This window comes from Homo sapiens, chromosome 3, assembly GCF_000001405.40.
Source record: "Homo sapiens chromosome 3, GRCh38.p14 Primary Assembly".
Taxonomy (NCBI): Eukaryota; Metazoa; Chordata; class Mammalia; order Primates; family Hominidae; genus Homo; species Homo sapiens.
The window spans coordinates 1133389-1156775 of NC_000003.12; the positions used below are offsets into that span (position 1 = coordinate 1133389).

A 23387-nucleotide genomic window follows, 5' to 3' on the forward strand; every position below is an offset into this window, starting at 1 on the left:
TATAAAATATTGTTCTAAGCAGGTTATATGAGTAAACTTATCCTCACCTTAAATGTGGAAAGTAGCTACCATTATTAGCCCCATTTTACTGATGAGGAAACTAAGGCACAGAAGAGTTAAGTAACTCACACAAATCCTTCACCTAGTGAGAGCCACAGGTCAGATTTAAACACTGGCAGCCTGGCTGTATAGCATGGACTCAGCTGTGACTGCCCCCTCTTGAGGCGCTCATGGAGCCAGTCAGTGACTTTATTTTCTTTTCCATTTTCCTACAGACATGGGTAGACTGACAAAGTCAATGCTGTCTTGGATATGTGAGCTCAGGGCCATGCAAGATAAACTCCTAGATTAGGTTGGTAGCTATGCTCTAGAATTAGGACTTCTGATTACATCATGCAGGGAAAAAGGATTACTGTTAGGGAAACATGTGTTCTCATATTCTTCTTTCCTTCCTCGGATCCTCTAAGTCTAATCAGTAGCCATCAAGACTGAAGCAAAGGCAGTATCTGGAGCAACAGCCTGCTGTGGATCTCACTACAGCCCTTCCCTTCCTGGATGTTTTCTCAAAAGTACCTTCACAATCAATCGGCCTCCTGTGCTGTAAGCCAGTTAATCTTTTTTTTCAGACTAATTCCAAATACATATATCCAGGTAGCTAACAATAATACTGTGCTTCCTGTAAATAATATGGAAAGACCACTCACTGTGAAGTCAAAAGATCTGGGTACAAGGCCCCGATCGACCATATAACGTCTATGTGCTTTTGATCCGTTACTTGAAGTAGTGTTATATTACTTGGAAGTCGGCCTCCTCCTTTTGGCCACAGCATCTCGACTTTTATACTTGTCGTTACTGAGTTGCCTGCTCTCCCATCTCAATTTGGAAATCTGAGACCAGAGTTGTTGCTCCATTTACTCAACTAATGTTGCTGGTGATAGATAGTAGGGCTGTCACGGAGTCCTTTGGATTCCTGGCCCAGTGTTCTTTCCACTGAGCTAGTCTCCTACAGTGTGCTCTGTGGAACCTAAGCCCTTGGGGAAGCTCTGCAGAAGGTACTTTTTCTTCCCTCTAAATGTGATTTTAGCATCCTGACATAATCCCCTCCACACTGCTAGTAGCCCGTGATACTCTTGCCTAGACCTGGATACAAATTAAGATCACAGTTTTGTCCCAAGTCACCTACATTCAGAGGGTCCAAAATGTAAAATGATGCTTTTAAAAGAATATGAAGAATTTATCCTCTGTGGTTACAGGAAAGTTAGCTAATCTCCCTGAACCTGAGTTTTGTTTTTTTTGTTTTTTGTTTTGTTTTGTTTTGTTTTGTTTTCCGGGTAGTTTAAAAAATCAAATGAGACAATTTATTTAAGAAAGCATCTTTCACATTATAAATCAGTTTACAAAAGCAGGGTACTATTTATATAAACATGAATTCCAGATATTGGAAGGTGGCAATGTCTGCTGTTAGTAAGAATGCAGGAAGCACACAAGCAGTGTGGAAAAATCTTAGATAATATTTTAGTCCCCTGCCCTTGGAGAAATGTATCATGAGGTCAGTGGGTGAATTTCTTTGCCTGCAAATTGTATCTCCTTTGGATACAATTTGCAAAGGGCTGAGGAATGAGGTTGGACCCCCATGCCCCATAGCACAAAGTATTTCTGCTCAGCAGTCATGTATTTTGCAAAAATAACCCACCCACAACGAAGTATTGCCTGATTTAAGGTTCTGCAATTTCTAAAAGCCAGGGCACTTAAGATACTGAGATGAAATAACATTCCCTGTTCCCAAATGAATAATGCATTTTCTCACTCTTTTTTATTTTTATTATTTCAAAATTCTTGCCTCTCTTTTGCAGAGAAATTTCCCAGAGTTTTACAGCATCACTGTTGACAGGCAACCACATTTTCCTCCCAAGGCGACTCCTATTTCTGTGAGGTCAAGATTGACAATGGGAGCACATATCAGGGGATGGGTTGATGGAAGAGAAGGCAAAAGGTCCAATTGTCCAGGGGCTGGGTGGGGACCGTGAACCTTAGCCAACAGAAACAGAATGGAATCAGTGTACATCCTGCTGTCAGTGCTCTGTGATTATTTTCCCCTTTCCTTCTCCTAATGGATAAGCTTGGAAGAAAGTGCATTCTTTCTCAGGAGAGAGCTCAGAACTGCAGGGTTTTACTGTATTTATTGTGCTACATATACATATACACACACACATACATAAATACACTGTATATACACTACATATATATATTAGTTTCAATAATTCTTTCCTAGGTAGGTCAGAAAATTCACATTGCTATGCATTATTAAAAAGAAGTTATGAGGCCAGGTGCAGTGGCTCACGCCTGTAATCCCAGCATTTTGGGAGGCCGCAGGCGAGTGGATCACCTGAGGTCAGTAGTTCAAGACCTGCCTGACCAACACAGTGAAACGAGTCTCTACTAAAAATACAAAAATTAGCTGGGCACGGTGGTGAGCGCCTGTAATCCCAGCTACTCGGGAGGCTAAGGCAGGAAAATCACTTGAACCTGGGAGGCGGAGGTTGCCGTGAGCCGAGATTGCGCCACTGCACTCCAGCCTGGGTGACAGAACCAAACTCTGTCTCAAAATAGAAGAAGTTATGCCATCGTGTGTGGTTAGAGAGTCACTGATTGGCATGAAAGCAATTAAAACCCACCCAATTTTCCTGACCACTTTTATAAGACAGAGAAAATTTAATAAGTTAATCCCTTATGGATATCTTGGGCTCTTTGAAATTTAGAGAGCTCTATTACATCCTTTATTAATTGACCCTAAAAAAATTAGGAGCAGTCTGTGTGGTAGGTAGTATGGTCACAAGATTTACAGTGGGCAACCCAAGAACAGAGATTCTAAGACTTACTCAAACTACATTGTTAGCTATTGACACGATTAGGACTCTAAGACCTCTGTTATTCTTGTCCATGGCTCTTTCCCCTTGATTAGACTTTCCCAAAGTGTGTTCTGTGAAGCGTTCACTGTTGGAAAAGCACTACAGAAAACCGAATCCCATGATCATGGAAGTTTGGGAAACAGTGCAGGCTATACCCCTGTCTTCAAGTTCTGTAATGTACACTGGCCCTGGAGAGATACAGAAATCCTGCAGGAAAGGAACTGTTTTGCCTTATTTAGCCTTGCATTTTGCATATTATTTAGCTGCATGGTGCTTTTTTTAAGCCCCATAAACACACTGTAGGAAGCCTTACCCTGTGCCATCTAGCTTTATAACAACTCAGGGTGGGAGTCCTCAATTTGCACCTCTAATAAGTAGAAATGTTTCTCTTTCAAATGTTCAGATTTGAGCAAAATCTCCCAGAGTAAGCTTTCGGCAAAATTGTAAAGTCTGTAAGATTGGCCATCGGGATGAAAAACATGGACTCAGGATTCTGATGATACTGGTCAAATGAGGGATTTTTCTGCCACTTATCATCTGTGTGCACTTTGTCCAGTTACTTAGTTCCTCCCAGTTTCAGTCTCTTCACCTGTAAAATGAAAGCAATAATTGTATACCTCTTATTTGACTGCCGTGAAGATGAAATGAGGCAGTGCATGTAACTCCTGGCATAGAATCTCGCTTCTGTTGGGTATTTGAAAAATTCTATTATTACTATTATTCTCATTATCTTCCTTTTCAGCCTACCTCCTGGCACCCCATTCTGTCTCTTCCTCCTCCTATTTTTCTATCTTGTCACACAATCTTAAAGGACTCTGCTTCCAGCTATCTTGCTTACCTGGTATAGTGTAGAGATGGTATACACGATGCCTTCCAAGACTGGGCAGGTAATATGAAAGAGTGAAGGGAACTAGGTGTGAGACAATAGGGGGTGTCCCCCAAACTATGGCAAACACTTGTGTTAAAGGGCCAGTCACTCCGGATATTTGTTGTTGTTAATGCCTTTTTGTTGTACTTTTACCGCATGGAAATATGGACTAGTGATGCCAAATTTTCAGATAATTAATGAGAAGTCAAATGTTTATTTTTATATGTAATTTTCCAATTTTTAAACACTCTTTTTAAGAATCTGTTAGACTACCAGTTGATGACCCCTGGATCAGGGGATTTTTAGCATCCTGTTCCTATATAGTAATAAAGAGCTGCAAATTTAGAAGTGTTTAAGAGGTCATCTAGTTGAACTTCCTACTTGATCAGAAATATTATTTATAATATACTAGAAAAGGTGTCATTTATCTATTCCTAGTCAGAGAGAACTAAGCATCTCATGGAAAAAAACATTACACTTTGTATGTACAAACTCACTGAATTCTCTTATGAACCTCATGAGGTAGATGCTACTTTTTCCATTGTAATTATCATGTCATCCAGGCTCAGAAAACTAATTTACTTCTTCTAAAGTCACAAAGCTATTAAGTGTCTGGTAGATTTTAAGAATGGAATTCCAGACTGTTTAGGTTTCAAAGCCAGTGCACTTAACCACTGGCTAAACAATTCTACTTGTTAAAATGCTCAGGGCTGATATTAAGCTGAAATTTGCTGCCCTGAAATGTCCACTATTTGGTCCCAGTTTTGCTCTCCTGAGACACAAATAATAAGTTTAATCTTTCTTCCACAAGACAGCCCTTCAAATATTTGAAGATGACTCTCCTCTGCCTGCTAAATCCTCTCTTCCCCAGGCTAAACATACTCATTTCTTTTCACTGACCCTCATAAGTCATGGCTTTCAGCCACTTCATCATCCTTGCACTGCTCCCCAGGAGAGTATTTCAATTTGTCAAAGTTCCTCTTAAACCGTGATGCTCGGAAGAGAACACAATCCCTCTGTGTAGTTACACAAGTGCAGGTCAGGATGGAACTAGCACCTCCCTGGTTTTGGCCACCATGCTTTTATTAATGCAACCTAAGTCATGCCAGATTTTTAGCAACTATGTAAAAAGAAAAGCAAACATTGAATATTGGTCCAACTTCACACTATAGAATTTTATTCTCTGCTTTTTTTTTTTCCAAACTTGAATTGAAGGAAAGCCACTTTTACTCACTCTACTCCTACCCAATATATTTAAGCAGGTCATTTTTAAAACTCAAATACATTACTTAGTATATATTCTTATTAAATACCATCTTTATTTATTTACTGTTTTGGCCGATACTGATCTGTTTTGTTTTTTCTTTAATTTGACAATTATAGCAAAACAGAAGAGAAAGAAACATTTTCTGTAGTGTGACCACTTTTTCTTAAATACATTAAAAAAGGGTTTTTTCCTCTACCACTCTAATATTGCTCACAGATAAATCTATTTATATTTTCCCAAAAACAAAATTTTAGAAAGTGCTTTGCACACATTTCTGTTTTAATAGGACCTTGCTATATTATTGCTTTGTTTAGTTTTTTAAAAAATTTGGAATATATGAAGAAGCAAAAACACTGAAAAAATCTGCTGCTTGCCATTTTACTTACATATATGTATTATATATCTATATAATTATATGTTATATCTATTTGTATGTATGCATCTACCTTTTCATTCTTTTCATTCCAGATATTTCCGATTTCTGCTATCTGATATACTCACTATCTCTTCTAGCTTTCTGTGATTCTGAGGTTAATCAAATATTCAGTAGGATTGGGCTGAGAACTTACCACTAGAAACTTCTCTCTAGGCCAACCTTTAGCCCAGGGGTGGGAAAACTATGGCCATGAATTAATTATTCTTCACCTGTTTTTTGCAAATAAAGTTTTTATTAAAAAAACTGCCACTTCCATTTGTTTATGTCTTGAGTAAGACTAGTTTTGCATTCTAATAGTACAGTTTAGTAATGGCAACAGTGACCAGGCTGGAAGTATTTGCTATCTAGTCCTTTATGGTCTTTTACAGAAAAGATTTCCCAATCTCTGCTTTAGTCATTAGTAAGTAGTCCCTGCATTCTGTTATTGAATTCATTGCTGAGAATTGAAACTAGCATAAATTCCTATCCCTGTACTAAACCGCACTGAAAGCAAAAATAATTTAGCTACTTGCTTCAGGAAATTCTTGCTTCTAGAGGACAAAACTTACTTTTCAAGACCAACATCATCATCTGTATCAAGAGCCTGACCTTCTTGTACTCATCAAATTAAAACTATTATGCCCTAATCTCTACCCACATTTAATCAGCTCCTCATCTTGCAAGAACAACCTTAAAATCACCTAACCCAGGTCACGAAGCCCTAAAAATATTGTTTTAAAAAAAAACTTCAGCTGAATTAAATTGAAAGGAGTTTAATTGAACAATGAACAATTCATCAATCAGGCAACCCCTGATTCTGGGGCAAACCCCAGAATCACAGCAGATTTGGAGAGACTCCAGGGATACCTCATCATCAGAACAAATTTGTAGAAAATAAAAGGGAAGTGACTTACAGAAATAGAAAGCGAGGTACAGAAGCAGCTGGATTGGTTACAGATTGGCATTTGCCTTACTTGAGCACAGTTTGAACACTCAGCAGCGTATGACTGGTTGAAACATGGCTGCTGGGATTGGCCAAGACTCAGCTATTGTTTCAGGCACATGTTCCTAAGTTAGATTTTCAATCTTGTCTACCTATTAAGTCAGGTTACTGTTGGTCCTCAAGGACTCAAATATAGAAATATGTATTTCTTCAGGCCATTTCTAGTTTATATTAACAATATCACCCACTTATTTCTCCTTCTGAGAAAGTATTACAACTATGCCAAGTTGTATTCTCCCTGACTGTGGAAAGTCTAGCAAACTTAGATTTGTCCAATGAATAAGTATTTCTTGTCACCTTTTTAGGAACGGAAAGTCAACACTACAAATCCTCAAAGCTATAGCAGCGTCACTCATCCACATTCTTGTATTCTGATTTATATAAATACAAAGAGCATTTCTATAAGATATAATTACCTGCATATTGCAGATAGAAAAACAGGTGCACACAGAGGCTGGAGCTATGCTTTGGTGATGTGTGCAGTGCCCCAGATCAAGAGGTCACATAGTAGGGGGGGACCCTCAATCAGGGATCTGCCTTCAAGTCCCAGGTCTCGTTCTAGGTCATGGACTAAATTTTATTTAGTTAACTATCACCTATATATGTAAATAATGGCAACTACTTATCTCCTCTAGGCCTCAGTTTCCTCAGCTATGAAAATAGAAAGCTGACTTCTATTATCTATATAGTTTCTTTCAATTGTGAAATTCACTGAAAGTATGATTTTTCAGCAGTCTTAAAACTAATTTCTTCACACTAGTATCTTTCAGCAAGACTTCATGGCCTCAAGCAAAAGGCATATGAGAGATACTCTCTTGATGACTGAGTTAAGTTCTACAGCTTGGTTTCTCTGATTAAAAAAAAATTGTAGAAATGATTCTGACTATTTCCATAACAAACATATTTGCATTTATTTCATGCTGTTAACAACTTAACATGTAATCATGGCTCCTCTAGGAAAAGCAGTACTGCTTCTTCTATGATCACATTAAACACGCTGTGTTACGTCTTTCTACTAATCTATCATCTATTATGGCTGCCTATTTTGAGAGCTTGGCATAACAATTATCATAAGTGATAGCATTATATTCTGAAAACAAAGAATTTGATGGCACAATTTATCTTGCTACTTGGCCTAACTTAATGGTGGTGGGGTTTCCTAGTCTGTACTATATTTTTCTCAGATCACAAATAGTTCACTTTTTAATTTATTATTGATTTAGCTTAAAAGTAAATAACTCCGTGAATGCTAAAGTTGGAAATCTGTTATAAAAATTATTAAAAATCTTCTCTTCCTTCTGGCCATGGATGTTTATCACACTGAAATCAAACTGTGGAGCTACCTGAACAAAGTGAATTTGAGATTTTTAATTTATCTGGTGTAATTAACTGGTCAACTAAAAACAAAAGGGCAATTAGTGCTGCACACATTTGTTCTGATGATGAACATGGCAACTGAAAATGGATCTTGATCTTCACTATGAAATCCTTTAGTATCAAAGCAATGTTGCTGTAAATAAGGGGAGAACGAAGCCCGTGAGGAGTCACGCACTTGCAACAATGATGTCCTGATAAACTAAATCCACACCAGTAAGACAACTAGAGAGAGAAGTTGGCCAATATTTCAAAGTAATATTCCTCCTTGACCATTCTACTGCCCTGTACTTGAACAGCAATAACCAAAGCCTTTTAGTAGTAGTTTCTACTTTTCCTGCTACCAATGTGAGAAAATCATTTCATGTACTGCAAAAGAGGTAAGAAAAAGGTATAATTTGTAATTGACCTGAGGATTTCCATAAACAGTATGTATTAATGCACATAATTCTCCAGCGTCCAAGTCCATGTAACCTAGATGTATTTATAGAAATTAAAAAGCACAATGTTGACAGAATTGGACAAGAATAATTTTCTATTTTCCCCCACCATAGAGTAAGATGTTTTAAATTATTTTAGACATTCTCTGTAGCTTCTAAGTTAGGTTGGGAAGTACCAACCCTTCATGAGCACCTTTCAGAAGCTTATTACAGAGCTATGCATGCACATCTACTCTGCCTTTTTATTCAAGAAATTGACCCTAGTTCTCACTGGAAAAAATAAAGTTGGAAAACTCCTCTGTAAAAGATAGATAAGAGAATAACAGAGGTACCATCTCTGTTTAGGATAACTCTCATTGTCTCTCAAGCCTGCCGGACAAACCAAGGTTTAACATGGCAGCCACCTTCCAGAATTTTCCTGATGCCTGAGGTCCAGCCATTATTTGACTTACACATTTATTCCTGGTTTACTGGCAATTGTGCACATTTATAGACTGACGAATAGTTTTAGAGCCAGGAGATGGAGTGAGTGACAATTTTCCATTCCTAAAAAAAAAAAAAAAACATGATTATTCTGAACCAAACAAAGAAACTCTTAATGTTGTTTGGGTTAAGCATAATTAGCACTGTGTATAACCTCACTGTCACAGCAATAATTGCTGAGTTCTTTCATCTGCCTTCTGGGATCAGAAGCAAGTCAGTGATACATGGTGAGAAGAGGTCGTATAAAGGCAGGGCTCACAGTCTGCAGCTACTTCAAAATACAGGACTGCATCTTTTTCTACTACATAGATGGTATTCTTGTTGAGTACGTATACACTGAATTAGAAAAATACAGTTGGATAATCCTTTAACAGAAATCTTCACAGCCAAATATATTTTAGAGTTTAGAATTCATTAAACGAGAGATCAGCAAAAGAAAATTCCAGAAGCTCGAAAGCCAGAAAGGGTCAGATAATAAATATTTTCAGCTTTGCAAGCCATATGGTCTCTGGAGCAACTATTCAGCCCTGCCTTTGTAGCACTAAAACAGCCATAGACAATACATCAATAAACAGGCATGTTGGGTTGCAGTGAAATTTTATTTACCAAAAAAAGGCAAAGAGCCAGATTTGGTCAGCAGGCTATGGTTTCCTGACCCTTGTTTTAGCCTTTAGAAAGGCAATGGGGTACGAATTCGTATGTATTTCTATATATTTATAAATTTGTGTGTACAAATTTATATGTATTTTTATTTGCATGCATATACATATTATAGACAGATATGTACATTAAAGATACATATAAATTTGTGTGTGTGTGTGTATATATATATATATATATATATATATATATATATGTATATGCCCAATGAACAATACACTTATCATCAACCAACATCTCTGTTTCAGCAGAAAAATACATCAATATTTATAATAAGCTGGGTAAAAAGATCTAAGCAACCACACATTGCTTGGTGTGTATTGCCTGGGGACAGTTCTCTGCCACCAAATAAATTTTGCTACCAAGCTTTCATGTAATTTTCAACTTTCAGAGATTCTTTTTAATTGCAAGAAAAGTGATTATAGACCTGTACATACTCTTTCCTTGAAGTGTTTGAAATTATTACTTTTGTACTGAGCAATTTCATGCAAGAAAAAGTAAATACACGTTAGTTTATGAACCAAGATACTCACTGCTCTGGGCCAAATTATCATTTAAAAGACCTCATCTAAAACAAAATGCTGGTGATACATTTTTGAGACTCTTTTTAGGTTCTAGAAGTTTCTTTAAGTTAGATTTATATACTGGTTTTCCTTTATTACACCATTTTGCCTCAAGTGACCTGTAGGATTCTAGGAACCTAGAATTAATTCCTGTGGCTATTTTGCATGTCAGTGACTAGCAGAAATTTTACTCACTGAATATTTCTACTCGATTCTGCTGTGAGTAAATAACTACACTTTTCTTAACTACATTGTTGTCATTGAGCCAGAGTATTCTCCTTCCTCAGGCAATTTAAACTTTCACAAATGAAACTTTTACAAATGGCAACCCATGCATAAATATTAGCTATTTAGGCTAGCAGTATAGAGGAATGCCAAATAAAACATCTTTCGGGCTTTGGCCTCATTATAGTATGCTGATAAGCAATCAGATGATAAAGGGCAACATTTGCTATGAAATTATACACTGGATGGAATCAAACCATCTTAGAATATTAGAGCTGGAAGAAACTTGAAGGTGACTTCTAGGTCAAACCCTTCAATTTTCAAAGGAGGAAACTGACAATCAATGTGATTGTACATGAATCACTCAATGTTACTCAGCTGGTTAAGAGAAAGAGACAATAGTAGAAGCAAAATCTCTAGATTCCCAATGTAGCCTTTTTCTCTGTACCACCAGGTTGTTCAGCTGTCAAATGCAAACCTAGCTCATGCTTGCTGAATAGCTATGAGCTCTGCATTAGACACCACGCCGAGTATTACGAGTAAGTGTTACACATGGTGTTTATCGTCAAGGTAAAATGCAAAACCCTTGGCTTTTGGAGTCTTTGGTAAGTGCAAGCCTTAAGAGAAATACATTGAGTCAGTGTGCTCTAGAATCTTTAAGAGAAACTTCATATAAATTTGAGATAAACGATACAGGGGACTGGGCACTGTGGCTCACACCTGTAACCCCAGCACTTTGGGAGGCCAAGATGGACGGATCACTGGACATCAGGAGTTCAACACCACCCTGGCCAACATGGTGAAACCCTGTCTTTACTAAAAATACAAAATTAGCCAGGTGTAGTGGAGTGTGCCTGTAAGCCCAGCTACTCGGGAGGCTGAGGCAGGAGAATCACTTGATCCCAAAAGGCAGAGGTTGGAGTGAGCCAAGATCGTGCCATTGTACTCCAGCCTGGACAACAAGAGCAAAACTCCATCTCATTAAAAAATAATAATAATAAAAAATAAAAAATAAAAAAAGAATGAAGGGGCTTGGGGCTTGTCGGATTACTTAGGTAGAAGGAGACAAAAACAAAATACAAACAGGACTAGGCAAAAATTTGTCTTCTTGGCTCAGGTAAGATGTTTCATGATTCTACGGTACTGGGTATGATTCTAGGTTCTTTGGATGATGGAATGAATCACAGTAACACTCAGATACAGAAAAAGCAGAACTCTGCTTCTTACAGCTCCAAATGAGGCAAAGGGCACACAGGAAATTGTACCCAGGAACAGAACTACAGCAAGCGGGGACTGTTGGAGGTAGCTTGCGAATGGAAAATGGCATAGAGATGGCTAGGCTTTGCAGGCCTCCGGAGGATTGGGTATTTTAAATAATTTTCTAGCCCAAGGAAGTAGGGGCTGTTTTTGGGTGTTAGAGATTTGGAGATCTGTGGTATTTGGGTCTATGTGTATTATAACCCAGGATTATTAAAGCCTAATAAGGGATATATTTGGGGTTGAGTCTTAGCAAACTGTCCATGAAGGGGAACTGAAAGTTTTTAGCTGTAGCTGCAAACTTTCGTCAAGATAACAGTTGTGAGATATACCAGATCAACGGGTTTATTATCTCTTGATGACTTAATGGAGAGATTATACACTTTTTCTGATAATATTGACAGAGGTCCTGGCTTCGACTGCCATTGGTTTCAATTAAGCAATATGCTGAATTTTTTACAAAATATTATAGCCAAAGAAATAGATAACTGATTGATAATGACCTGGTCATATGCTTGTCCCTGGAGCAAGAAGGTGGAGGCAAATAACTCCCCAGCTGTATTGTCTGATGGTACATAGGGAGATGGTTCCTCAAAAGAAAGTCACAGACCTTTTATCACAAGAAGGAGACAGAATTATTGGGTAAAAAAATAATGAATATCCGTTAAATAAGTGTACCATGTAATTTACGTTATAAGCTGAGGCTTTTTTGAGAAAAAGAGTCTATTGATAATTCTGCCATGACAATTGGATACATGGAAACTGTCCAGTGAAAACAAAGATTTATGGCCATGCTACCATTGTATAGGTTTTTAGGGAGATACAGACCCTAAGGAGGAATTCTATGCAAATTAAATGACATCTATATAGAGATAATACATAATGCACGTGCACAGGAAGTAGATCTTTGTCACTAGATTGGAAATATTTAGTAGTAGTCTCCTTGGAAAAGGAAGATTAGAAACCTATTGTGCATAGTCTTGAATATCATTCCAAAGACTTTGGATGTTTGTGAAATTGAAAGTGATTAAAGTCTCCATTGCATAAACTGGCATAATTGGACCAATCTTTGTTTTAGGAAGAAAATTTTGGTGGTAATATTTAAATGAGTAGAAAGGACAAGAGATTTAAGGCAGGAAGACTATTCAGAGATCCAATTTTTTTTTAATCTTCAAAGCCACTACTCTATTTAAAACCTTCATTATTCCTTTCTTGTACTACAAAAGTAGCCTTTAATTACTCTGTATAATTCCAGTTTTTACTCCATCTCTTTCATTCTCCACGGTAGCCAGAGATATAACATAAATTTTGATTCTGTTCTGCTCAACATTCTCAATTATGATCTGAAAGTACAGCATTCATATGCATTAACATGACCTAAATGTCTTGTATATTTCAGCCTCTTTCCCTTTCTCCAACCTTGTCTCATGCCGCAGTTCTTCTGAATATCAAACCGGACTTTCTCATATCTTTGAACAGGCAACTCAAGGCTTGCTATAGGACCTGAGCCCACTGTCTCTCTTTTGTTTAGGAAGCTAGTCTCATCCTTCCTTCATACCTATTGTAATCCCTACAGCTCTGCTGTTTTCATCCCATGTACACACACTCTTTGCCTGGCAAAGAGCTACTCATATTTCAAGCCTCAGCTAAAAAATGCTAACTGAATTCCACCCTATAAATCTCATACATATTACATTTTTCTTTAATATTATCATATTTACTACACAAATATTTTCCTGTGTGCGTAAGGTTTTTTTTGTTTTGTTTCTCTGTTTTTGTTAAATGTCTCACAAGAGAACAGTGCCTCAAAGGTAGAAATGAAGGATTTTAGGCTCACCATTAACACCATAGTGCCCATTGTCTTGCAAAGAATGTGATTATATAAAGAAACAAACAAATAAATAAATGCTTATGAAAATATAATTAATGAATGAATAGATATAACATATGATCTAATTTATGTAAGGCATTAAAGGCTGTGGTATCAAAAGGAATGGAAAGATGATGTCAGATATGAGAACATTTGAGAAAAACATTGACTCAATACCTATGTTGACCCCTGAATATTGTTTATTTTTCCTGTGATTTTTATCCTTTGATTAAATTTGGAAAGCATTTAACTTAAATTTTATTTAAACGTTAAGTATAATCAATGTTTTTGGTTTAAGATGAAGTAACTCATGACAGAAAGAAATGATTTTTACAATTTAAAAATACATCAAGAAATAAAAATTTTATTATTTATTATCATCACACTTAAACTCCATACACTTCCAATAAATATTTAAGGTTGCAAGAAAATATGTTTCCACTATGTTAAAGTTTCCAAAGGATCTTATCACTTGATATATAATAGTTTTATCAAATGTAACCTACTACATCTCTTGATAGAAAAGCTGCAAAATTATACCATAAAAAGGCCATAGAAATAATAAAGGCAATAATAGTGGCTGTTTTTGTAAACAATCAACCATAGTCTGTTACAATCATACAGTTCATAATAACTGAGCTTAATTGTCAAGATTAATTGTTGAGCTTACCTACATGAGTTGTTACAGAACATGGACATAGATAAGTTTATTCTGAGCTTATTCTAAATTTTTATGAGTTTAGGAGTTTTTATGAACCTCTTATTAGATTTCTCTTTTGGGCTAAAGGCCAAACTAACATTTTATCTTGATTTCATTTATCACTGCATAGCTTAAATGTCAAAATAAATTAGAGAAAATTATGATGCAACCCCCTTAGGAAAAGCAAGTCTCGTACCTGAAAGATAACACTGCTAGAAATTGATTTCTTGCAGAAATTTTGCAGCACAATATTAATTTTTCTCTTGTGATATTAGGACAAATAATGTTTTCTAATATTTGAGGTGTGAATTGAAATTAAGAAAATATGAGCTGACATTACTGGAACTCGCAGAACAAATGTATGTGTAGAAAGCATCCATTTAGGTTGCTTTATTTTGGATAATAATATTAATATTAAATTGAATTAATATGCAACAAAAATATGCTTATTAAAATATTCGTGTTTGTACGTTTTTCATTTCATGACAATTTTGTCTTTTTCAGACTCTTGAGATACTGACTGGAAGATAGACTGTTTTGTTCCACCTGATTGTATGGGAGAAATTTTTGACCTTAGAAAGTGGAAATGAGGTTGCTATGGAAACTGGTAATTCTGCTGCCACTCATAAACTCTTCTGCAGGTAAAGTGTTCTATTATTATAAGTTTTGATTGATAAATATATTGGCATTGTATTTCTTTCTATGGGTGAAGCAATTTTCAAAATGCACAATTTGTATGTTATTTGAATGACTAAGTGATAATGTTTTGAAGGTAACTTCTATGACTCAGACAGGGAAAGTTTAATCCTTAAAAATGTATCAAATGCCAGTTTTAAATGGAAACTAACATTATTACATTTATAAATTGGCAAATATGACATTTTTATACAATGTAATTATGTAATATTTAATTATATAATATACTATGACATTTTAATAAAAGAATGTAATTAAATATTTTTATCACCAATAAACAGTGAATAATTATTCTTATTTTCATTATAGTGAAGTCTTTAAAAAATTAAAATTAAAATACATATTTCTCTCATGTTTAGAAATTGATATGGCAAAAAAATCAAAGCTATATTCATTTAGAAGAAAAGATGATATAGAATGTTACCTCAGAACTAGAAATAACCTTAGATATATTTTCTTTTTAATTATTTTAAAAGAATAGACAAGAACATGTTCTTTTATTCAACTTGAACATATTAATATCTGTGTATCAGTTAACTTTTGCTTTGTAATAAGCCACGCCAAATGTGAGTGTAATAAAATATCAAATAATCATGTATTTAGTTGACAAATCTGTGGGTTAACAACTTACGATGGGCTCAAATGGGTCTTCTTTTGGTTTTTGCCTGGGTGCACTGCAACTTCGATGAGCTGAGTCATCTGAGACATGACTAGTCTAGAACATTCGTAACTGAGACAACTGTGCTGCCATGGCTGTGGTCCAAATGTTACCCTCTGTGAGTCTGGGTTCTTTTACATGGTGGCTGCTCAGGGTTCCAAGAAAACAAAAGACAGAAGAATGCAGCATTTCTTGATGCCAACGCTTGGAACTGCTACATTGCCATTTCTGTGAGTTATTTTGACAATTATAAGTCACAAGACAAGTTCAGCTTTAATAGATGTGGAATGACACTACATCTCTTGATAGAAAAGCTGCAAAATTATACCATAAAAAGGCCATAGAAATAATAAAGGCAATAATCGTGGCTGTTTTTGTAAACAACCAACCATAGTCTGTTACAATCATAGAGTTCATAATTACTGAGCTTAATTGTCAAGATTAATTGTTGAGCTTACCTACATGAGTTGTTACAGAGCATGGACATTGATTAGATCATATGATTATCAAAGAAGCCTCTCTTCTACCATACCATGCTTCTTCCCCCCGACTATGTGTTGATAGGTACTAGTGAAGTTTCACGTACTTATAACAAAGCAGTAATACATTGACAGACATGCAGGAATAAACATAATTTAAAAGGCAGAAACACAGTAATTGTAAAGGACATATATTTTATAGCAATCCTGAGAAATAGATATGCTGATCTTAAAATGAATGAGAATGCTAAAATATGCAGAAATCAAACAGGAGAATCAGAAAACCATACAAATAAAAGCAATTTTACCACTAGCAAAGCTAGCAGCTAGAAGTGCCATAGTTATATTTACTCAAAGTGATTACAGTATTTTGATTGGTGACACCTCTAAGTCTCTGTAACAAAGATTTGGGGTTAAATAATAGTGTATTCTTTTTTTGGTAATAGATTAAGAAAAGACAGAGAAAACTCATCAAGGTGCCCCCAAATCATATATGTGTGAATAAGAATTATATTCCTACCCTTAAGTTTCATCTTCCTGTCAAAATTCAACATTAACATTTTGCCCTTTAAATATGTATATTGAATTAGCATAGGATCTCTAAAAGACCTTTTGTGTTAAATTAAAATGAATTATTAGTCTCAGAACACGTATCAAATCTGAGAAATACTCCAGCTCTTATATTAACTTTTATTTATACAAACTGGATGTGATTCAACATGTCCTGTTGCTTTATTCTGATGGGAGAAATCATCATATACCCTTGGTGCACAATTTCATTGTGAAAGAACAGATTGGATCTATTAAGTAGCCATAGCTACTTAAATGAGATAATCTAAGCTAAACATTGCTCCAGAGGTAAGGATGTTGATAATGACATACACAAGACAACACTGCTTTAAATCTGTTTGTTTTGTTAGACGTTTCATGGTGTGTCTCCCTATTCGCAGATACTATTTTAGTTTAGAAAATTAGATTGTCTGATGATAGAGTTCTGTGACTATGCATAGTGATAATATCTTGTTTTTCCAAAACATACTTTTTATTCATTCTGAAATGCCAGCAAATCTTTCACAATTACTTACTTTTTCCTTGCTATTTGAATTATTATAATTTTTCTAACAGGTTGATACTTTAAATCTCCCTAGACTCTAAATTAAAACTTAAAATTTTTTGACAACCTCTCCCCTCATTTTCTAAAAATTAACTACAACTTCTAGTGCTTTTACTATAGTCATGGCCTCATAGGCCTTTACAATGAAACTTAATCCATACAGTCATACATGATTGATTCTGGGACACTTTTAAAGTTTTGAGTACTTAAAAGTTTAATTGTTCTATTTTAGTATTTTTAAAATATTAGAAGAAAATGAAGGCCCATTTAATTAGGAAATACAGTTAATAATTATATACTTTTTAACTGTTTCATTGATATGCATGACAGGCTAAATAATGGCCCCAAAAGATATCTAGGTCCTAATACCTGGAACCTGTGAGTGCTACTTGATACAGTAAAGTGGATTTTGCAGATGTGATTAAGTTAAAGATCTTCAGATGGGGAGATTAAAATAGCCCTGGACTATCCAGATTGTAAGAAGGAGGCAGAGTTAGACCTGACAGAGGGGAAGGCAATGAGGCAGCAGAGCAGAGGGAGACGTGAAGATGCTGCACTGCTAGACTTCAGGACTGAGGAAGGGATCATGAGCCATGGGGTGTGATGAAGGAAGCTCTAGATGCTGGGAAAGGCAGGGGGACAGATTCTCCCCTCTATCTGTGGACTGAGCATGGCTCTGCCTGCACCTTTTTTCAGCCCCGTGAATCCCATTTTGGACTTCTGACCTCCAGGACTCTAAGAAAATAAATATGTACTGTTTTAAGCCATAACATTTTTGGTAACTTTTATAGAAGTCATAAGAAACTGAAGTTTCTTCCTCACTATGCTTTAAGCTTCCAGATGGCAGGGACTATATCTTGCTGGTACTTGGTAGGGATTCAGTAAATATTTGTTAAATGAATGAATTAATTAATTACCAAAAGTTAATGTTGTTTGTTCTATTTATGTTATCACAGTAGAATAAATTTAGTCATATAATATCCTCTGGGGAACTGTTAGTCTGGTTCATTCCTTTATGGTTGCCAGTGTGTATTAAAGTTACAGTCATAAGTTTCTAGAAATAGAATTGTAATAACGTTTTAAAAGTTTTAAATCATGCCGTATTTGAAACTCTGTGAGGGCAGGAAATTTCATCTGGTTTATGCTTTACTGATTCTCCATCCCCTAATACACAGATTCTAAATATTTGCTAAATGAATAAAAGAAAGCAGCTTCATTCACTTCAACAAATATAGAAATATATTAGAAACTATGATGTGCCAGGCAAGGAGCTTGATGTTGACCTTCAACAATAGGTCCATAGTCCCTGCCCTCTTCAACCTGACAGTCTAAACAGGGAAACCAGCAAGTAAGTCCACTTAAACTGAGATTCTGCCCCTTGTGACAAAAAAGTTCTTGACTAATACAGCTTTAAAAATTTGGTTTTGAGGTTGAGTTAGTAACAGAACTCTGCTGGGATAAATGCTTATTCACTAATGAAAATGAGGAAAAGAGCAAATAAAAGAATTTTAAGAAGTCACAATAATTCCTGGAAGGAAAAAAAAATCAAGAGGTTTAATATAGACTAAGAACGTTTATTCTCAGCCCTGAGTTACTGAAAAATCTACATTTCTTAAAGTAGAAAAAATATGTTAATGAGATAATTTGGATAACCAAATTAATAAACGGAGAAAAACTTATAACTGTAAGTCTACTTTTTGTCTTTGTAGACAATGCACAGATTGTTTTCATGAGGAAATATTTTATTTATTTATATATTTGTTTGTTTGTTTGTTTGTTTGTTTTTTGAGATGGCGTCTCCCTGTGTTGCCCAGGCTGGAGTGCAGTGGCGTGATATCAGCTCACTGCAACCTCCACCTCCTGGGTTCATACAATTCTCCTGCCTCAGCCTCTTGAGTAGCTCAGATTACAGGCACGCACCACCATGCTGGGCTAATTTTTTGTATTTTAGTAGAGACAGGGTTTCACCATGTTGCCCAGGCTGGTCTCAAACTCCTGAGCTCAGGCAATCCACCCACCTCAGCCTCCCAAAGTGCTAGGATTACAGGCATGAGACATCACAACCGGTCCAGAAATATTTTATTTTTTAATAAATACTGAACAATGTCAGTAATGGGTAGAAGCTGAAAAACCACGTAGGGTCAAATTTTGTTGACCCTAGAATGTCACCTGCCTAAGAAACCCAAGATTAACTGATGTGATTAACTGTCACATTTTCCCACAGTGAAAAATTCTCAGAATGCACAAGATGATTCTATTTTATTAAATCTTTCACCTTACCATGGCTTTTATGTACAATTTGAAAAATATTAGACAGATTTCAAAATTTAGTTCCAATCTTTAAAAATTTGATAATTATTAAAAATGTTTAATAAAGACTTGATGATAATAGGTTGAATCGTGTGCTATATCTGTTCTTATGAGTTAACCAGGGTTAGAGATAGCACAATTTTATCTGCGGACTATTAGAAGATCTGCAGTCCTTAAGAAGAGTGTCAGTGAGTGTCAATGGCTGCTATTATAACTCAAACATAATAAACAATAGCAGAATAGTAGTTACAAGGAGTGTGATTTTCCTGATACTAAATATTCATATCATCTTAAGAATTTCTGCCTAATGTATTCTCTTTTAACATTCTTATTTTAACTAAGTACTACTATTTAAATGGTAGTTTATAAAACATTCACTTGGTTCATAAATATAACCACTTTTTTGTCATTTGTGTTTGTTTTGCCATGGGTTAAGGACTTTTATATGTATTTTATGAAATTACGGACTGAATACCTATTTGGTTAGTCCTGAAGAAGTACCAGTTATTCAGTATGAGACTTGGTTTTATCATGAAGAAGTGCAATAATTCAAGAAAGTCAACATAGAGCTAGTCACATGTATTGGCAGACTAGAATCAAAGCCCTCCTTGAGGGATTCTAATTATTGTGTTATGCCAACAGGGCCTAATGAGCTGGTTTCTCCTACTGTATTAATTACTCTTGAAGAATAAACTGAGACTCAAAATTATAATAAGTCTTTGCAGCCATCATTTTTATGTAATGTTTGCTGACAAATGTGGTTATATTATTTTCAAAACTTCTCCCAAAGTAGTTGACTTTTAACACTAAAATAAAGTTGTTTTTAGGGCTGATACCCATAAAGAAAGAAAAAATCTATTTTGTCAGTATTTTTACATAGCTTACTTCTTTATAAATAACACAGCCTGAAAGTGAATCTGGGAGAAACTGTCACTCTTTCTAAATACTCACAGTCAGGCACCTAGGAAAAAGGGACATTGGAAAGTATTTATGATTGCTTGAATTTCACTCTATTTCAAACATAGCCTTTTATTGAATTGAGAGGCAGAGCAAACGAACTACCTGAGAGAGAAAACCAGAAGAATGAAAATATTCACTATGACCAAGATTTCTTCAAAGACAACGATGTATCACACAGCAAATCCATGAAAATTGGCAGGTGTAATAAACCTGCTTTGCTCAAGGATCCCAGAAGCACATACTGGATATTCCTTTGGGTCAGAGTGTGAATGAATATTGAGTACGTCACAACCCACACTCTGCCTACGGTCTTGTTTGGATTTATTGTTAGCATAATAGCACCTTTAAGAATGGAACACCAGGCTGTATTTTTAAGCCAAGTGACATCTTCGCAATTTCTAATAGAAATGGTCCAATTTAGAAATGCTGAAAACACCATTTTCATGCAATGCTTACTGATAAAGGTGGTTATATGATTATCAAACCTTCTTCCAAAGTAATTGATTCTTAAACCTTAAATGAAATTGTTAGGACTGATAAGAATGTAGGAAAAAAAATTATGTTTTGTCAGCACTGGGGGGAAATGATTGGTATGCAGACTGGCATACTATAGGAAATGTAGGCTCTTAGTTGAATGGAATGTGAGTAATTGTGTTTTCACCATGAAGTCTTTGAAGGAGAGGGTCAAGTATGCTATGGAAGTAATAACACCAGGTCATATTTTCACTTTAAGGGTACTCAAAAATAGCTATGCTATGACTTGAAAATAGCATGGAAGGATTCATAATATTTTTCTTTTCTTTTCTTTCTTTTTTTTTTTTGAGGTGGAGTTTTGCTCTTGTTGCCCAGGCTACAGTGCAGTGGCACAATCTTGGCTCACTGCAACCTCTGCCTCCCAGGTTCAAGCAATTCTCCTGCCTCAGCCTCCCAAGTAGCTGGGATTACGGGCATGCACCACCACACCTGGCTAACTTTGTATTTTTAGTAGAGACGGGGTTTCTCCATGTTGGTCAGACTGGTCTCGAACTCCCGACCTCTGGTGTTCCGCCCGCCTCAGCCTCCCTAAGTGCTGGGATTACAGGCGTGAGCCACCGCGCCCGGCCCAGGATTGATAACATTTTTCTTCCCCCGATTTAAACAACTCCAGATGCTTAAAATCAAACTCCTTGCCATTCCATCAAGTCACGAAACAATCTGGCTTCTTCTGCCTACCTCTTTCATCTCTACTTTTACTTAACTTCCCTTTGCTCATTGCATTAGAGTCACATTTTTTTCTTATGCTCATCAAAATACCAAGATTGTTCTCTGCTTAGGGTCTTTGCATGTGCTGTTCAGTCGTGTGAAACACTCTTCACATCTTTCTATGACTGGCTCTTTCCATTATACCCATCTCCAATCAGTCACCTCCATAGTCTGACGTTCCCTTAGGACCTTGTCTGGGTAAGTAGTAGCTTATCCCACTATTGGTCCTAGTCACTCTTGTCAACCTTTTTTACTGTTTTCAATGAGCTCGTCGCTATCTGGAATTAACTTATTTATACATTGTTTACCAGTGCACTTTCTGCCTATACCTAGAGGAATATAAGTTTTATGTAGTTAAAATATTGTGAGTCGTATAAGTGGCTGCATCACTGATGCCTAGTACAGTGCCTGACGCATGGTACGCACTCAATAAATATTTAAAATAAATGAGCACGTTATTGACCTCTCAAAATAAGACCCCAAGACTGCTTAGGGATAAACCAATATTCCCAAACACCTTTAGCAATTGAACTGGTTCTTGTTAGAATCTACTTTTAGGCATAAATGTTTTAGTCACAATATATCTTTTGGGCTTAGGATTTTTTTTTTAATTTTTAAAAACTATGCTGTATACTGAAAGTAGAAAGCTATTCCTAATTTTTGAAACGAATACAGTTTGCTTAGACACACTTGACCTAGGCAGGGGTAACTTCAGTGTGGTTTGTTCAGGGAGTAGAACATTTAACATACAGCCAGTGCTGTTTCAGTATTACTGGGTAGCAAATACACGTTGACTTTGTGTCACAAATAATTTAAATATTTAAACTTGTGGGCTGTATTTTATCTCAAGATGTATTTTTTTATTCCTTTTTAGTTCTGTCATTACCAGTCAAGTTGATCCACCATTGCCTCTCCCCCCAAGACATTTGTACCAGCCTCCTACAGTTTCTCTCTATTTTGAGGCATCCTCTGTGTCCTTTCCAAGACTTAGCTTATTGACACAGATGCCTATGCAGAGAAAACTTCATAAAGCACGGCTGATTTTGTCATTACTCTATGTCAAGACCTTTACAGATCCCATCTCCTATAAAGTTCAAACTGTCTAATCAAGCATTCAAATTCAATTTCCTTCAACAAATATTGGAAGTTCTCCAATTAATTCAATTCTACCTGTGTCATGAGCCATGCCTTCCCTTACTCTCCTTCATGTATCCTTTATTCAAGTCAGACTGTGCTACTTGTAAGATCTCTGCACTTTTTAAAAATCCCCAAGTCTCTCCTTATATCATTGTGATATTCTGCATTGTTCTTCTTCAGATCCATTTCCATTTATTAAAGGCAAATCCAATCTTTAACACACTTATTCGAATGCTATGTTCATTCTGATTAATCCTCCCAGTAACATATTCTTCCATTTTCTCCTGAAACCTTGATTCTGTGAAGAAGAATTTTGTCATTTCCACACTCTTTGCTTAGAATCAGGTCATTTCTCTCAAATATATGCTCATTCTGAGAAATATATAGTATTTACACTTGTTGAATTTGTAACTGTAGAATTCTTAGTCTTAAAGGGAAAATAAAAACTCAACTCAAATATTTGACTCGTTATACCTCATAACTAGTGCATTCGAGTTTATAAAGCACTTTATGAATAGTGTTTCATCTGATCTTGATAGTGGGCAAAGGAAGAAACGATATTTGAGTCTCAGACTTTCTTTCTTTCTTTCTTTTTCTTTTCTTTCTTTCTTTCTCTTTCTTTCTTTCTTGCTCTTGCTCTTTCCCTTCCTTCCTTCCTTCCTTTCCCTCCCTCCCTTCCTTCCTTCCTTCCTTCTTCTTTCTTTTTCTTTCTTTTTTTCCAGTCTCGCTCTGTTGCCAAGGCTGAAGTGCAATGGCG

At 36.0% G+C, this 23387-nt stretch overlaps 1 protein-coding gene across 22 annotated transcripts in view; it reads left to right on the plus strand.

The window, feature by feature from the left end:
- Nucleotides 1-23387, plus strand: part of CNTN6 (contactin 6) — a 311194-nt gene that overhangs the window by 40365 nt on the left and 247442 nt on the right. For 18 of the 22 annotated variants that reach the window (XM_011533590.3, NM_001349351.2, NM_001349354.2 and 15 more), the window contains one exon: nt 14539-14675. The exons of 2 other annotated variants lie outside the window; for them this stretch is intronic. In XM_011533590.3, the coding sequence (XP_011531892.1) occupies nt 14621-14675 (55 nt within the window). In that variant the 5' untranslated portion in view covers nt 14539-14620. Of the gene's footprint in view, nt 1-4; nt 601-14538; nt 14676-15045; nt 15619-23387 lie in introns of those variants that run through there. 2 more of the 22 variants (XM_017006172.3, XM_011533591.4) reach the window with 2 other exon arrangements.